This window comes from Homo sapiens, chromosome 9, assembly GCF_000001405.40.
Source record: "Homo sapiens chromosome 9, GRCh38.p14 Primary Assembly".
Classification (NCBI taxonomy): Eukaryota; Metazoa; Chordata; class Mammalia; order Primates; family Hominidae; genus Homo; species Homo sapiens.
This window is the reverse complement of record NC_000009.12, coordinates 15,847,370-15,865,360: the sequence shown is the minus strand read 5'-3', so window position 1 is coordinate 15,865,360 and position 17,991 is coordinate 15,847,370. Positions and strand designations below refer to the sequence as shown.

Below are 17,991 nucleotides of genomic sequence, written 5' to 3'. Positions count from 1 at the left end.
ATGTGTGTGTGTATATATATGTATGTATGTATGTATATTTGTTTCCCCAGAGGCTACTACAGTTTCTGGAACATTATACATACTAAAAATGTATATGTAGAATTTAATTATTATAAATGTTGTGTTTCATGATGGGTTCTAGGTTTTAAATAACTTTTCTGAAGAAGCAAATCCAAAAAGATGTCAGCAAAAACTCCTGTGACTTCCTAAATATTGTTCCAGTGTCATTTCAGTCCGATAAATTTAAAGGATTTATAGACACAAGGTCTTATGGAGTTTTTACAATTTCTGGATTGTCATTTCCTGTTTTATCTTTTAGATGATTTACGATAAAAGCATCTAAGACTTCTCAGTGAACATTCTTTGGTACTTTTAAAGCCTGTATGTTATGGCCGTACATAGGGAACATTTCAGTTAATCTTTCCAAACTTGTAGGACTCATGCTTTCTCAAAAGCCTCAAGAATGCAGCCATTCTACTCATCCAACAACAAACATGACTACAAAATTATTAGCTTCTTCTTCACATTTCAATTTTACCTAAGTTTTCTTACTTTTACTCTTAGCTGCAGTAAACTGAGATATCTCTCTATTAGGCACTTGGTTAGTATCTAATAAGTACTTATTTTTATCATATCTAATCCTAAACAATCCAGACATTATCCTACTCATCTAGGCATTATCCTATCCTGAAATTATTTTAATATAATTGTTGTGCTTTCCCTTTACCCCACACAATAGAAATACTTAGGCACATTTGGAGAAGCTCTAATTAAACTATCGCAAGGACAAAAAACCAAACACCGCATGTTCTCACTCATAGGTGGGAACTGAACAATGAGAACACTTGGACAGAAGAAGTGGAACATCACACACTGGGGCCTGTCGTGGGGTGCGGGGAGCGGGGGGAGGGATAGCATTAGGAGATATACCTAATGTAAATGACAAGTTAATGGGTGCAACACACCAACATGGCACATGTATACATATGTAACAAACCTGCACATTGTGCACATGTACCCTAGAACTTAAAGTATAATAAAAAAAGAAATAATAATTCCTGTATTATCAGTAAAATTGAAAGCCTACTGGTAGAGCTATTAAAAAACAAAAGTATATGCTTTTAGAGATTGATGTTGGCAAAAATGATGGACTAAGGAACTCCAAAAGCTAGTCGTTCCATAAAACTAGCAAATAAACTGGCAAAAAAAGGTCAGAATTAGCTTTTTTCAGAACTCGAGAAGCTAACTGAAAGTTTACAGTAACCAGGTAAAAGCTTAACCAAGAAAAAAATCTGAATCTCAGTATTTAAGGAACTCTGTCAAAACAGTGGTTGACTACTAAGCCAACAGAGACTTCAGTTGCTATACGTGACAAAGGATACAACTTTACAAAATGAGTTCAGAAAGACAGCCTTTACAAAATCAGTTCAGACTTTACACAATCTGTCACTAAATACAAAACAACAACTAGAGCAAGCAGCAACAACCCTGGAGATGGGGAGAATCTTATTTCCAGAGTTGTCAGATTATAATTTTCAAAATATCTACTTTTCAACAAAAAACTGTGTATGCCACGAAAAAAGAAAGTATAGCTCATTTCCAATAAAAACAGAAATGAACAGGAACTGTCCTTGAGGAAGTCTAAACATTGACCTTACCACATAAGTACTTTAAATCAATTATTTTAAATGTGCATATAAAGTTATAGAAAACCATGTACAAGGAACTAAAAGAAACCATGAGAACAATGTCTTCCAAAATAGAAAATGTAAATGAAAAGAAAAAAGAAGCAAAATATAAATTTTGAAGTTGACACATTCAAAATTTGGTGGTGGGGTGGGGGTAGTTAGAAAAAAAAAATGTGTCAACCAAGAATTCTGTTTGTGACAAAAGTGTCCTTAAAAACGAAGGAGAATGATAGCAGCCAGATGGTGGAATAGGAAACCCTGGACTCTCCTTCCCCCATGGACACACTGATGCAATGGCACATATCAATTCCCTTTATGGAAATTCAAGAAAGTAGCTGAGAGGCTCCTGCAACCTGGGCAACAAGAAATCAGTCACATTGAAACCACTGGGAAAACTGAAGACACTCTCTAATCGTAATCCCCACTCCCAGCACAGCATCGTTATTACCAGGAGGGAACTCTCAGCTCCCAACTTTTTATGAGAAGGGAAGGAATTGGACTGTGCGTACAATGTCCCACTCTTCAGAGTTCTACCTAAAGGATTGGCTTTTGTCTCACCTGTGTTTGAGTACTGACATGACCCAACATACACTAGATCCACAGAGAAAAAGGGTGGTGGTTTGAGAAAAAGGGTGGTGGTTTGGACTAGAGCACAGATATTCATAACAGCTCTCCCCTGGCTTGGCACAGAAAGGACCAGTGAAAAAAAATGCCCAGCTCTCAGCCTCTACCTTGGGAGGAAAAGAATTGGGCCATACATACAACATTCCAACTTTTCCAAGTATTACCAGAGGGTGATATTTCTATCTTTTGTCTTGCCTGTCTCAAAGTACTGATGAGGCATACTACAAAGTACTGATGAGGTTCTATGAGGTTCTAGCATACTCTAGAACCCTGGAGCCTTTAAGAAGATGACAGTTTGGACTAACACAGAAGTTTGAGAGCCCCATAGAAGCTCTGGCCAAGTTTATTGGTGAAGGTCTTCTCTGGTACAAAGCCAATCCTTGAAGTCTGAGAGAGATGGTAGGTTCTTTTTTTTTTTCTCCTTAATGCACAGATACCAACACAAAGAGTCAAGGAAAATGAAAAAACAGAGAAACATAATCCAAAAAAGGAACAAGATAAAACTCTGGAAACCAATACTAATGAAATGGAGATATATTAATTATCTGAAAGAGAATTCAAAATACTGTCATAAAAATGATCGATAAGCTCAGAAAAATAATACATGAACAAAGTGAGAATTTCAGTAATAAGAAAACTTAAGAGGAACAAATATTAGGGCAGAAGAATATAATAACTCAACTAAAAATTCAAGAGAGGTTCAACAGCAGACTAAAACCAGCAGAAAAAAAAAAATTGGTGAACTTGAAGATAGGCCACGTGAAATCACCCAGTCGGAGGAAGAAAATAATAATAGTAATAAAGAATAAAGACAGTTTAAGTCTTTATTCAAAAAAAGAGAATTTTTAAGTCTTTTTTATTCTTTTTTTAATTCAAAAAAAGAGAATTTTTAAAGAAGCAAGAAGAAAATGACTCATTACAAACAAGGGAATCCCTATTAAACTATCAATTGACTTTTTCAGCTCAAACTTTGCAAGCCAGAAGGCAGTAACATGACATATTCAAAGGGATGAAAGGGAAAAAGAATGCTATCTAAGAACACTATACCTGGCAAAACTGCCCTTTAAAAATGAAGGAAACATAAAAATTTCCCTGACAAAAGCTGAGGAAGTTCATCACTAACAGACTTGCCTTACAAGGAGCGCTAAAGGCAGTTCTTCAAGTAGAAATAATAGAATGCTGTACAGCAACATGATACCATAAGAAAGTATAGAACACAAAGGTAAATATACAGATATACAGAATGCTTTATTACTCTAATGGTGGTGGGTAAATCACTTTTATTTCTAATGTAAAAGTTAAAACACGAAAGTATTAAAAACAACTATAAGTAAAAAATATGTGAATGAATGAATGAATACACCATATAGTAAATTGTGACATCAACGACAAAATGTGAAGGTAGGAGGAGTAAAACTGTAGAGTTTTTGCATGTGATTAAAGTTAAGTTGTTATCAACTTAAACTGTCATAACCGTATTTTATATAAGCCCCAGGGTAACTGGAAACAAAATACCCATATAAGTTACACAAAAGTAAAAAAGAAATTAATAAAAGTTTATCAATACAAAAAAAATCAACGAAACACAAAGGATGAGAGCAAGGGAGAAAAATGAACTAAGAACTGTGCACTAAGGAATTCCAAAAAGCTCTGGAACTCCAAAAACAAATGAACTATAAGACAAACAGAAAATGATGAACAAAATGGCAATAATAAATAATTTCCTATCAGTAATTACTTCAAACGTAAATAGGTTTAACTTCTGATAAATAAATAGATATAACTTCCAATAAAGAGACACAGAGTGGCTGAACGGATTTAAAAAAAAAAAAGATCCAACTATACGCTGTCTATGAGAAACTCATTTTAGATTTAAGGATGTGCATAGACTGAAAGTAAAGTGTTGGAAATAGATATTCCATTAGTTACCATTTGGTAACCAAAAAAGAGTAGGAGTGGATATATTTATATCATACAAAATAGATTAGGATTAGAAGCCAAAAACTGTCAGGAGAGACAAAGAATAACATTATATAATGATATAAGAGTGCAGTCTCCAGGAACATATAACAATTTTAACAATTATCACACACACACACACACACACACACATCCCTAACAACAGAGCACCTAAATATATAAAACAAACATTGGCAGAACTGAAGGGAATATAGACAGCAACACAATAATAGTAGGAGACTTCATTACCCCACTTCCAATAACGGGGAGAACAACCAGTCAGAAAAAGAAATAGCAAACACAAACAACACTATAGACCAAATGAACCTAATGAACATACGTAGACCGTTCCAGTATACAGCAGCAGAACACGCATTGTTCTCAAGTGTACACACGTCATTTTCCAGGATATATCATATGTTAGGTGTCAAAACAAGTCTTAATAGATTTAAGAATATTAAAATCATACCAAGTTTCTTTTCTGACTATAATGAAATGAAACCAGAAACAAAGTATAGAAGAAAAACTGGAAAATTCACAATATATAGAAATAAATTTTTGAACAACCAGCGGCATAAGAAAGAAATCATTAGGAAAGTTAGAAAATATCTTGAGACAAAATGAAAATGAAATACAACATATCAAAACTTAAGAGACTCAGTGAAAGCAGTAGTAAGGGGAAACATACAGCAGTAAACACCTACATTAAAAAAAAGAAAGATGTCGCATAAACGATTTAATTTGGCACCTCAACGAACGAGAAGAAGAACAAACTAAACCCAAAATTAGCAGAAGGAAGGAAATAATAAAGATTAGAACAGGAAAAGAATAAAGAACAGAAAAACACAATAGAGAAAATCAGTAAAACTAAGAGTTTATATTTTGAAAAGACGAAATTTACAAACCTTTAGTAAGACTAAGCAAAAAAGATAAAACTAAAAAAAAAACACAAAAAGGACAAATTATAACTGATACCACAGAAATAAAAAGAATCATGAGAGACTACTATGAACAATTATATGCAATATAGTAGATAATCTAGAAGAAACGGATAAATTCTAAGAAACATGCAACCTAACAAGACTGAATGATTAAAAAAAAAAAATAGAAAGTCTTGAACAGAGGCTGGGTGTGGTGGCTTATACCTATAATCCCAGCACTTCCGTGGCCAAGGTGGGAGGAGTGCTTGAGGCTAGGAGTTCAAGACAGCCTGGGCAACATAGTGAGATGCTGTCTCTTCAAAAAATAATAATAATTTAAAAATTAGCAGGATTTGGTGGCATATGCCTGTAGTCACAGCTACTTAGGAGACTGAGGTAGGAGGATCTCTTGAGCCCAGGGGTTTGAGGCTGCAGTGAGCTATGAGTATGCCACTGCACCACTCTAGGCTAGGCAACAGAGCAAGACACTGTCTCAAAAAAACAAAACAAAACAAAACAAAACAAAACAAAAAGATTCGGGGGGTGGGGGCAGAGGGGGAAAGGCAGAAAGAGAGGAAGGGAGGGAGGGAAAATCTTGAACAATAGTAAGGAGATTGACTCAGTAATCAAAAATCTTCTGACAAAGAAAAGCCCAGGACCAGGTGGCTTTACTGATGAATTCTATAAAACAATTAAATAATTAATGTTAATGATTTTCAAACTCCTCCAAAAAATTTGAAAAGGAGGGAAAACTTCGAAATATATTTTATGAGACCAGCATCTTCCTGATACCAAAGCCAGACAAGGACATCACAAGAAAAAAAAAGCTACAGGCCAATATCCCTGATGAATATAGATCTAAAAATCCTCAACAAAATATTAGCAACTGAATTCAAAAGCACAATTAAAGGATTAGGCGCCATTACAAAGTGGGATTTATCCCTGGGATGTAAGAATGGTTCAAGATACAAAAATCAATTATGATACATAACATTAACAGAATGAAGGACAAAATTCACACAATCAATAGATGCATAAAAAGCATTTGATAAAATTGATAAAAATTCAATAGCCTTTCATGATAAAAATTCTCAACAAACTAGGAATAGAAGAAAAGTAGCTGAACACACCAAAGGCCATATATGTAGAGTTCACAGCTAATATCATACTCAATGATTAAAAACTTAAAGCTTTTCCTCTAAAATCATGAACAAGGTAAGGATGTCTGCTTCTACCACTTGTATTCAACATATCACTGAATGTCCTAGCAAGCGTGATTTGGCAAGAAAAATAAGTAATAGGCATCCAAACAGAAAAGGAAGAAGTAAAACTGTCCCTGATTACAGATGACGTGATCTTCTACATAGAAACCCCTTTAGAATAGATGAGTATTCCTTACGTATGGAACATCCTAGTTCAGTATTAATTCAAACTAGATTGTTATGAATTAAGATGTTAATTGTAAACACCAAGGTAAACACTAAAAAAAATCACACTTATAACCACATCAAAAAGAATAAAATACTTACAAATTAACAGAGGTGAAAGACTTGTACACTAAAAAGTATAAAATATTGGCAAAAGAAATTAAAAATACAACAAATGAAAAAACATTCTGTGTTCATGAATTGGAAGACTTATTATTGTTAAAATGTTCATACTACCCAAAGTGATTTACAGATTCAATGTAATCCCTATCAGAATCCCAGTGGCATTTTTGCAGAAATAGAAAAAGCAATTCTAAACTTCATATGCAACCAGAAACTGCCTCAAATAGCCAAAAAGAGCTTGAAAAATCAGGGCCAAGCTGGAGGCCTCACACTTTCTGACTTCAAAATACATTACAAAGATGGCTGGATGCAGTGGCTCATGCCTGTAATCCCAGCACTTTGGGAGGCCAAGGACGTGGATCACCTGTGCTCAGGAGTTTGAGACCAGCCTGGCCAACATGGTGAAACCCCATCTCTACTAAAAATACAAAAAAATTAGCCAGGCATGGTGGTGTGTGCCTATAGTCCCAGCTACTCAGGAGGCTGAGGCGGGAGAATTGATTGAACCCAGGAGGGGAAGGCTACAGTGAGCCAAGATCATGCCACTGCACTCCAGCCTGGGCAAAAGAGTAAGACTCCCCCTCAAAAATAAAAATAAAAAACATATATACATATGCATACATATATACATATATATACACATCTACATATATACACACATATGCATATATACATATATATATATCAAAACTATAGTAATTAAAACAGTATGGTATTGGCAGAGAAACAGACATAGAGTTCTATGGAACAAAATAGAAAGCCCAGAAATAAATCCACACATATATGGTCAATTGATCCTTGACAAGAGTGCAAAGAAGACACAATGGGGAAAGGATAGTTTCCTTCAACAAAGAGTGTTGGGAAAACCAGATATCACTTGCTAAAGAATGAAACTGGGCCAGGCACGGTGGCTCATGCCTGTAATCCCAGCACTTTCTGAGGCCGAGGTGGGGTGGATAACTTGAGGACAGGAGTTCAAGACCAGCCTGGCCAACATGGTGAAACTCCACCTCTATTAAAAATATAAAAATTAGCCGGTCATGGTGGTGTATTACTGTAGTTCCAGCTACTTAGGAGGTTGAGGAACGAGAATCACTTGAACCCAGGAGGCAGAGGTTGCAGTGAGCCGAGATCACGCCACTGTACTCCAGCCTTAGCGACAGAGCAGAACTTTGTCTAAAGAAAGAAAAAATGGAGCCTACCTTACACCATATTAAAAAAAATCTATTTACAATGGATTAAAGACTTAAACATAAGACTTACAACTATAAATTTCCTAGAACAAGACATAGAGGAGAAACTTCATGACATTAGCCTTTGCAACGATTTCATGGATATGACACTAAAAGCACAAGAAACAAAAATGAAAACAGACAAGTGAAACTACATCAAATGAAAAAGCTTCTGCCTAGCAAAAAATAATAATAATAATAATCAACATAATGAAAAGGCAACCTGTGGGATAAGAGAAAATACTTGCAAACCACATGAGGGTTTTAATTTCTAAAATTTAAGAGGTTAATTTCTAAACTCTATACAACTTAATAGCAAAAAGAAACTAATAACCTCATTTTAAAATGGGCTAAGAACTTGAATATACATTTATCCAAAGAAGACATACAAATGGTCAAACAGGTATATGAAAACATCCTCAATGTCACTATCATCAAGGAAATAAAAATCAAAACCACAATGAGGTATCACCTCATACCTATTAGGATGACTATTACAAAAAATTTTTTTAAAAGACAAGGATTGGCAAAGATGTGGAGAAACTGGAACCCATGTACACAACAGCAAAGGAATGTAAAGTGGTGCAGATGCTCTGGAAAAAAAGTATGGAGATTTCACAAAAAGTTAAAATTAGAACTACCACATATGATTCAGCAACCACTTCTGGGTATTTATCTAAAAGAAGGGCAATAAGAATCTCTAAGAAATATATACACTCCCAAGTTCACTTCAGTACTATTTATAATAGCCAAGATCTGGAAACAACCTAAATGTCTATTGAGAGATAAATGGATACATAAAATATGGTATAAACATACAATAAAATATTACTCAGGTTTTCAAAGGAAGGAAATAATCAGCCTTTTAAAAGAAGGAAATCTTATGAAATACAACAAAATGGATGAACCTTGAGGACATTATACTAAGTGAAATAAACCATTCACAGAACAAATACCACATAATTCCACTTATATGACGTATCTAAAATAGTCGAACTCATGGAAACGGAGAGTAGAATGGTGGTTACCAGGGGCTGGGGTCAGGGAGGGAGAAGTGGGGAGTTGTTAATAAATAGGTATAAAGCTTCAGTTATGCCAGATGGATAAGTTCTGAAAGTCTGCCTTATAACATTGTACCTGTGGTTAACAATATTGTATTGCATACGAAAAATCCATTAAGAGGCTAGATCTTAGATTAAGTGTTCTTACCACAATAAAATTAAAATTTTTTCTAACGAAGGAGAAATTAAGACATTCCAAGATAAACAGAAGCTAAGGGAGTTCACCACTAGATCTGCCCAATAAGAAATGCTAAAGGGAGTCCTGAAATGAAAGGATACTAGACAGTAACTCAAATTCACATGAAAAAATAAGGAACACCAGCAAAGGTAACTACGTAGGGAAATATAAAAGTCAGTATTAATGTATGTTTGGTTTGTAACTCCTCTTTTTCTTCTATAGATTTAAAAGACAACTATATAAAACAATCATTATAAACTATGTTGACGGGCACACAATATATAAGAATGTAATTTGTAACAACATGAAGAGAAAGGATGAAGCTATTTAAGAGCAAAATTTTTTAAACATAATTGGCACTACGTTGGCATTAATTCAAACAAGATTGTTTTGAATTAAGATGTTAATTATAATCACCAAGGGTAACACTAAGAAAACAACTAAAAATGTATAGTAAAATAAAAGAGAAGGGAATAAAAAATGGTACACTACCAAAGATCTATCTAATGCAGACAAGAAGGAATCGTAGAAGAACTGAGGAACAAAACAGATATAACACATGCAGAAAAAAATGGCAGAAGTCCTTCCTTATCACAATTACGTTAAATGTAAATTGATTTAAATATCCAATTGAAAGTCAGAAGTTAGCAAAATGAATGTTTTTCAAAACGTGATTCATTTTACACTGTCTATAACAGACTCATCTTAGATACAAAGACACCAATAGGTTAAAAGTGAAAAGACAGAAAAAGATAGCCCACGCAAACAGTAACCAAGAGAGCTGGAGCGCCTACACTAATATCAGACGAAAGACTTTAAAGTCAAAATTATTGCAAGAAACAAAGATAATATAATGATAAAAGAGTCAATCCATCAAGAAGATATAACAATTTCCACATAATCTCAAAATATATGAAGCAAAACTGACCAAGTTGAAGAGGAAAAAGAGTTCAACAATAACATTTGGAGACTTTGACATCATACTTTCACTAATGAATAGGACACCCAGACAAAAGACAATCAAGGATTTAGAAGACTTGAACAACATAAACCCGCTAGACATAACAGACATACATAGAACAGTCTACCTAACAAAAGAATACATATTCTTTTAAAATGCACATTTAACTTTCAGAAAGACAGACCATATATTGGAGCATACAACGAACTTTAACAAACTTAAAAAGGATAGAAATCAAATGAAGTATTTAATCCATATAAAATTAAAGTATAACTCCATAGCAAAAATAAAGTGTGGAAAATTTCCAAATATTCAGAAATTATCAGCTCACTCTTAAATAACAAGTCAATGAAGAAATCATAGAAATTAGAAAATATTTTGAAATAGATGAATATAAAAAAATAATAAACCAAAACTTCTGGGATGCAGTTTAAGCTGCATCAGACAGAAATCTATAGCTGTAAATGTCTACATTAAAAAAGAAGAAAGATCTCAAATCAATAACCTAACCTTCCAGCTTGGAGCAGTTAAGAGAGAGACAGAGAGCGCAAACTAAACCCAAAGCAAACAGAAGGGAGAAATAATAATGTTTTAGAGCAGAGATAATACAAAATAGAGAACAGAAAAACAATGGAGCAAATCAAGGAAACCAAAAGTTGGACCCTTAAAAAGACAAATAATATTGGCATGCCTTACCTAGACTGACCAAGAGAAAAGTTACTAAATTACTAAAATCAGAAATAAAAATGAGGACATTACTACTAACCTTACAGAAATAAAAACAATTATAAGAAAATGAGCAATGGGATATCAACAAGTCACATAACTTAGATAAAATAGACGAATTCCTAGAAACACACAAACTACCAACACTGACTGAAAAAGAAACACAAAATCTGAAATCTATAACGAGAAAAGAATGAATCAGTATCAAAAAACTTCCAGATAAGAAAAGTCCAGGCCCAGAAAGTTTCACTGATGAATTCTGCCAAATGTTTAAAGAATTAACACTAATCTCTCTCAAATTCTTGAAAAAAAATGAAGAGAAGGGAGCATCTCCTAACCTATTCTATGAGATCAGTATTACTCTGATCCTAAAGCCCGACAAAGATATCACAAGAAAACTACAGACCAATATGTCCTATGAATTTAGATGCAATAACCCTCAAAAAAAAAAAAAAAACCTAGCAAACCAAACCTAGCAGCATATTCAAAAGATCATACACCATAACCAAGTGAGATTTATCTCAGGAACACAATGGTGTTCAACATACATAAATCATGTTAGGTAGTACAAAACATCAGTAGGATGAAGGAGGCGAGGCACAACATGATCATCTCAACTGATGCAGAAAAAGAAAAGCATTTGACAAAACTGAATTCCTTTTCATAAAAACACTCAAAAAACCAGGAAAGGAAGAGCACTTTCTCAAACTGATAAAGAGGATCTATGAAAAAACCCACAGCTAATATCATGCTTAATGGTGTAAGACCAAAAACTTTCCCCTTAAGATTAAGAAGAAAACAAACATGTCTGCTCTCAACATGTCTATTCAACACCATACTGGATGTTCTAGCCAGATAATTAGATAAGAAAAAGAAACTAAAGGCATCCAAATTAGAAAGAACTAAGTAAAACTATACTCATAGATAACATAATCTTACATGTAGAAAATCCTAAAGAAGCTATACATGCATACAAAAACTACTAGAGCTAATAAATTCAGCAGTTACAGGAGAAAAGATGAACATACAAAAAGATAAACATACAAAAATCAGTTGTACTTTTCTGCACACCAGCAATTAAGAATAAAAAATTAGACTTAAGAAAACAGTTCCATTTAAAATAGCATTGCAAATTATAAAATACTTAAGAATAAACTTAACCAAGAAGATGCCTAACTTATACACTGAAAACCACAAAACATCTTTTGAGAGAAATTAAAGAAGATCTAAATAAGTAGAAAGGCATTCTATGTTCATGAATTGCAAGACTTAATATTTTGTTAAGATGACAATACTCCCCAAATTGATCTATAAATTCAACATAGCAGGTTTCAAAATTCCATTGCCTTCTTTTGCAGAAATGGACAAGCTGATCCCAAAATTCACATGGAATTTTATGAGAGAACTTGAATAGTCAAAACAATCTTGAGATCTAGAAATCTCACATTTCTCAATTTCAAAACTTAATAGAAAACATCGTCATCAAAACTTACGGTACTGATATGAAGAGAGACATACAATTCAATGGAACAGAATTGAGAGTCCAGAAATAAACCTATACATCTATAGTCAACTGATTTTCAACAGGAGTATGAATGATTCAACATGATCATTCAATGGGAAAAGAACATCCTTTTCAACAAATGGTGCTGGAATAATTGGATTGCCATATAAAAAAAATGAAGTTGGGCCTTTACATGATAGAATATATAAAATCAATTCTATATGGACTGAAGACCTAAATATGAGAGCTAAAACTATACAATTCTTAGAAGAAAACAGAGGGGAAAGCTTCACGACTTTGCATTTGGACATGGATTATTAGATATGAGGCCAAACACATAAGCAGCAGCAAGAAAAAAATTAGATTTCATCAAATTCTAAAACTTCTGTTCATGAAAGGACACTATTTAAATAGAAGGTAAAAAGACAACCTACAGGATGGGAGAAAATGTTTTCAATTCATATATATAATAAGATTCTAGTATCCAGAATATGCAAAGAACTCTTAAAACTCAACAACAAAAAGACAATCAACCCAATTTAAAAACGGGCAAAGGATGTGAAGAGACATTTCTCCAGAGAAGACAAACAAATAATCAATAATCACATGAAAACATGTTCAACATTGTTAGTCATTAGGAAAATACAAATCAAAACCATAGTGAGATACTACATAGTAGTCACTAGGATGGCCATTAACAAAAATTGAAACTAACAAGTGTGAGCAAGGATGTGGAAAAATAAGAATGCTTATCCATAATGGTGGAGATTTAAAATGGTGCAGCAACTGTGGAAAACAGTTGTGGTTCCTCAGAAAGTTATCATGGTATTATTATTTGATCCAGCAGTTCCACTCCTAGCTACATACCCAAGAGAAGTGAAAACAGACCTTCAAACAAAAATTTTTACACAAAATTTCACAGCAGCATTCACTATTCATAATAACCAAGAAGTGGAAACAACCCAGTGTCTATCAGCTGATGAATGCATAAACAAAATGTGGTATAACTATACAATGGCATATTATTCAGCCATAAAAGGGTATGACGTATCAATACACGCCACAAGATGAATGACCCTTGAATAAATTATGCTAAATGAAAGAAGCCAGACATCTAAAATCACATATTGTATTATTCCATTTACATTAAATGTCCAGAACAGAAAAATCCATAGAGACAGAAGGCAGGTCAGTGTTTGCCAGGATGTAGGGGAAAGGGATATAAGAAATAATTGCTTCTTGGGTACTGGGTTTCTTTTGCAGTGATGTAAATGTTCCAGAATTAGTTGTGATGGGTGCACATACTGAAAACCACTGAACTGTGCACTTTAAAATGGTTAAACTGGTGAGTTGTTTTCAAAAGAAGTTCAACAGTTTTGGATTTTCAAAAAAAATAAAAAGCGGCCAAAATTTCAACTCAAGAGAGAAGGGTGTGTTTTAAAAAATGTACCTCATGAAAAGTTATGATGATTTTGTTTCTTCTCGTTCTTATTTTTCTTATCTCCAATAACTTGAAATTCCCCCCCAAAAGAGTGTCTTTTAAAATTAACTTCTGACCTACATTAAAAACTGGCATAAATAAAAATATATATCTAAATGAAATTAATATAAAATTTACATTTCTTTGAAAAAAAACTATATGTTTTTAACTGAAATGACTGACCTTCCTTATTAAATAGTAGTTATCAGTCCCCAATGGAATTTTGAAAATAATATCTAATCAACTGTTCTGTGTAATATAGTTGTAGTATTTGAAAAGTTGAATGAAATATGTTGCTTAAAAACTAACAAGTATAAATAAAATGTAATTGTTTTTCCTAAGAACAAATATGTTCAGGTTAAGTTCCTTAACATCCAAGAAAAGAAATAACGTCTGCAGGAAAACAAGTTCTTTCTTCTATTTGATTATTGTGTCAGAAGTTAGTATTAAAATTCAACTCAGCGGGTAAGACTTAGTTTTATTCTAGAATGAATGGTACAAACCTTGAAAACACACGTGTTTAAAACAGTAAGAAATATAAATAGTGATACTATTTTACGGTGCACAGTAAACTTCGTTAAAGAGTTTGGATGTATCCATATCCATTTTTACCATCCCATGAAAGAGCCTGGACCCTCCTTCCATACTACTCTTTGTTTCATCAAAGACAGCAAAATGCCAATGGGAAGTCCAAGGTGGCCAGAAAAATAAACCTATTGAACTCTGGCACGAAGACAGGTGGGCCTGCATCTTCCTGAGACTTTCAGAGGACTCTCTGGGCCACCTCCTTATCACTCATTCATTCTCACTCATACCTCACAGAAAACAGAATTATCCCCAATTATCTTTCCTAAGTTTTCACTACAAGCTTGAAAAGTAATTCATAACTTTAAAGCCACTATATTAATAGAATTTTCTAAAGACATAAATCAAAATAATTAACTACTAAATCTGAAGAGAGGAAAAGCCATAAAGCAAAAGCAAATCTACAATGGCTATAGACCAGATTTACAGACAGCTTTCTTTCCATATGACACAAAAATCAAAAGATGAACTACAACTGAAGAACTGTATGATTATAATCATCCTGTTGCAGTCAGTCTTTATTATATTTAAACGATATATTTTGCCATTTTCATAAGAAAAGAAGAAGGTACAACACTTACATTTCATATTGGTGATGGTTTTTCCCTGACGTCGAAGTTCATTCCCCAAGTTAGCTGCTATCTAACTCTTTTTTTCTCCAACTGGGATGATGAAAAACCAACTGGATTTCAAAGTCAACATTAACTATATAAAAGGGTATGCCATGTATATGACGTAATTGACTTTTCTATCCACCAAGTTCAAAAAAACATACCAAAGATGTCTCTTTCACTGCAAATCTAAATTTCAGATTTGTGGCACATATGACTTTAATGTGACTATATTTAAACTATACTGACTAGCTAAACTTTTTTAAATGGGAAGGGGGAGAAATAATAATTTCAAAGAAGCTTAGGAAATAGCACTCAGATTATTTTTTTTTCAAAATACTTTTGTTGACATGAAATAATGCTGGTCACTGTCAAAATATAAAAGAATACAGGGGCCCATTGTTTTTAAAATGTTAAAATGCATTAACTATTAGTTTGCTAATTTTATTTAATATGCCCTTCAAAAGGTTAGTTTTAGGGTATTTTAAGTGACTTATAAAATGATATTATATAAAAAATTGATTCACAAGGTTATTCTAAATGTGATTCATTCATAAATTCCATGTATCTTTAAAGTACTTAATGTTTGCATTTCTAATAATTTGCCTTTCAGACAGTAGCAGAAACACATAAACAATGTTTCTCTACTTTTGAATGATGAAATAATGAACACATCTTTCAATGCAGAGTGGAGTGCTAACAAAATACATGGTCAATAAATATATTATGTTTTTACTAGTATCATAATACTTTTATTATGCTGTTCATCACTACAAATTAACACTCAGAGTTTATCATACAGGAGTAATCAAATTTGAAAACAATAGAATATATTAAATAATTAAATTTCTACTTTAAGAATATATTCTTACAAGAAAGAAAATTTCAATTTGAATAACATTACTACCTAGTTTATATATATGAGTATTACTAAATAAAATATATATTTCTCTATATACATATATATATAGGACCATTGGTTTAAGAGTGGTAAGAGGTTAGACACTGTGGTAAAACATTTTATCATTATGAGACATATAAGGATCTTAATGACCTCTGCTTTGTTCAGCAAAGACCGCAAATAATTCCTAGTGCAATTACACCAGTTTGGGGAAACCACTATTTTCATAGTTTTATAGATATATAAAGTGAATTCTGAAAAAAAGCATGCAATATAGCACCATGTAATGGAAATTTCCAGTCATCTACAAAGCATCTTTTTGTTAATTTATTTTTTTAACTTTCAAAATCAATGAAAGTACTTTGTGGCTAATAAAAATAATGACTAGGTGTCATGACACAAATTGAACAATATTAAAGAAAAATAACAGTACCTTGTGAAGCGTATTTTCTACTGCTCTCATGTGATTAGCAACACATTCTTTGTCTCTAGAAAAAATAAAAGATTAAGTGTTAGTAAAACTCAAACCTTACTACAACTGTTACACATTTTAGTATAAGTCACTGGTATTAAAAAATAAGGGTCTGATATCACTGTTCTCCTTTTATTTTTTTAATTTATTTTAACTTTTTAAATTTTGATTTTTTAATTCATTGTTCTCCTTTTAAAACTATAAAAACTAACCATATTCACTGATATATTTCCACATTTAACTAATATCTTAAATTTTGTTGCCTGTCCTAAATTGGGGTGGGGGAGAATAAAAAGGTAAAAAAGTGAAAAACAAAGAAAAAAATCACAATTACATTATTGATCATTTAAAATGTGCTGTAAATGGTAAAACTTTATTCTTTTATTTCTAATGAAAAAGACTTAAAAAATCTTAGTGATGGGGATATATAATAAATGACCATGCTATGCAAAATAGTATTTTCCTTTCCACACATTCTTTTTATGCTATAATAATTACACAGAAAACTCTTCTGTGACTTGTCTAGGAATATGCAAAGTTACTAGTTTCTCCTATCAGCCTAGTATATTGAATTTAGCCTTCATAATGAAATAAAAAGTTTGAATGAAAATAATGAAGATAAAAATCTAATTGTAAATTGAAATTTAAAACTGTAAATAATGTATTAGTCTCCAGATTTCAAATTAGCTTTCTTTAGATTTATAAAAACATGTGCCCGTGGTCACAGATCATAGACATGTCAAAACACTGAATTAACAGCAATGTTTTGAAAATACAATTTGAATCTGGAGGTCTTATAAGCCTATTTTCATTCATCTCAGAATTTTCTCAGTGCTATAAGACTCACTGGAAATTACCTGGGCTAAGCCTCTCATTTGACATGATGAAACTGGGAGTGAACAATAACAACAAAAACTGATTTAGTCAAACTTATATTTTAAAAAATGACAAAAACATACACCTCAGATGGTGGTGCAATGTTACATAGCTTTACAATTTTCCAAAAAATTATCAGTGGTTATTCAAACATGCCAACATTTTGGCCTTGTGTCAATTCATGTTTTCATTATGTTTGAGCAATGTCACAAACCCTGTGGCAAAGCTTATGAATATCCTAAGATTGTGGATTCCTTGTTCAGTGATTTATATACATTCTGCAGTTTACAGACTATATTCATATCTGACGATATTTTATGTTTAAGAGTTTGTCTCAAAAAATATTTAACGTATATTTTTGCAAGTAAAGAAATTCAGAATTCTAAATTTAGAAAACACTGCGTTTATCAAAATTAGATGTTTCTTTACTCCTTGAAAATAGATTTTCTTTAAGCCATGCTGTTGTACAAAGAACTGTCTTTAAAGTATTCCATGAAATTTGATATGAGGAACAAATAAAAATGCCCAAGAGAACTGTTCAATGTGAACTTCATAATGTATGTCAACTTGATTACCTGGTTTAAAATAAAAAAGGAAAAACACTTTCATCACATTTACATAGTGGTCTACTCTGAAAACTATATTTTTCTACTTAAAATATTA

The 17,991-nt window shown here is 32.7% G+C and overlaps 1 protein-coding gene across 35 annotated transcripts in view; it reads right to left on the bottom strand.

Moving 5' to 3' along the window:
• Window positions 1–17,991, bottom strand: part of CCDC171 (coiled-coil domain containing 171) — a 556,042-nt gene that overhangs the window by 243,566 nt on the left and 294,485 nt on the right. For all 35 annotated transcript variants that reach the window (XR_007061261.1, XR_001746227.3, XR_001746228.3 and 32 more), the window contains one exon: window positions 16,414–16,468. Coding sequence is in view for 30 of the 35 variants with exons in the window: in XM_047422930.1 (XP_047278886.1) it covers window positions 16,414–16,468 (55 nt within the window). In the remaining 5 variants the exon portion in view is untranslated. The remainder of the gene's footprint in view (window positions 1–16,413; window positions 16,469–17,991) is intronic.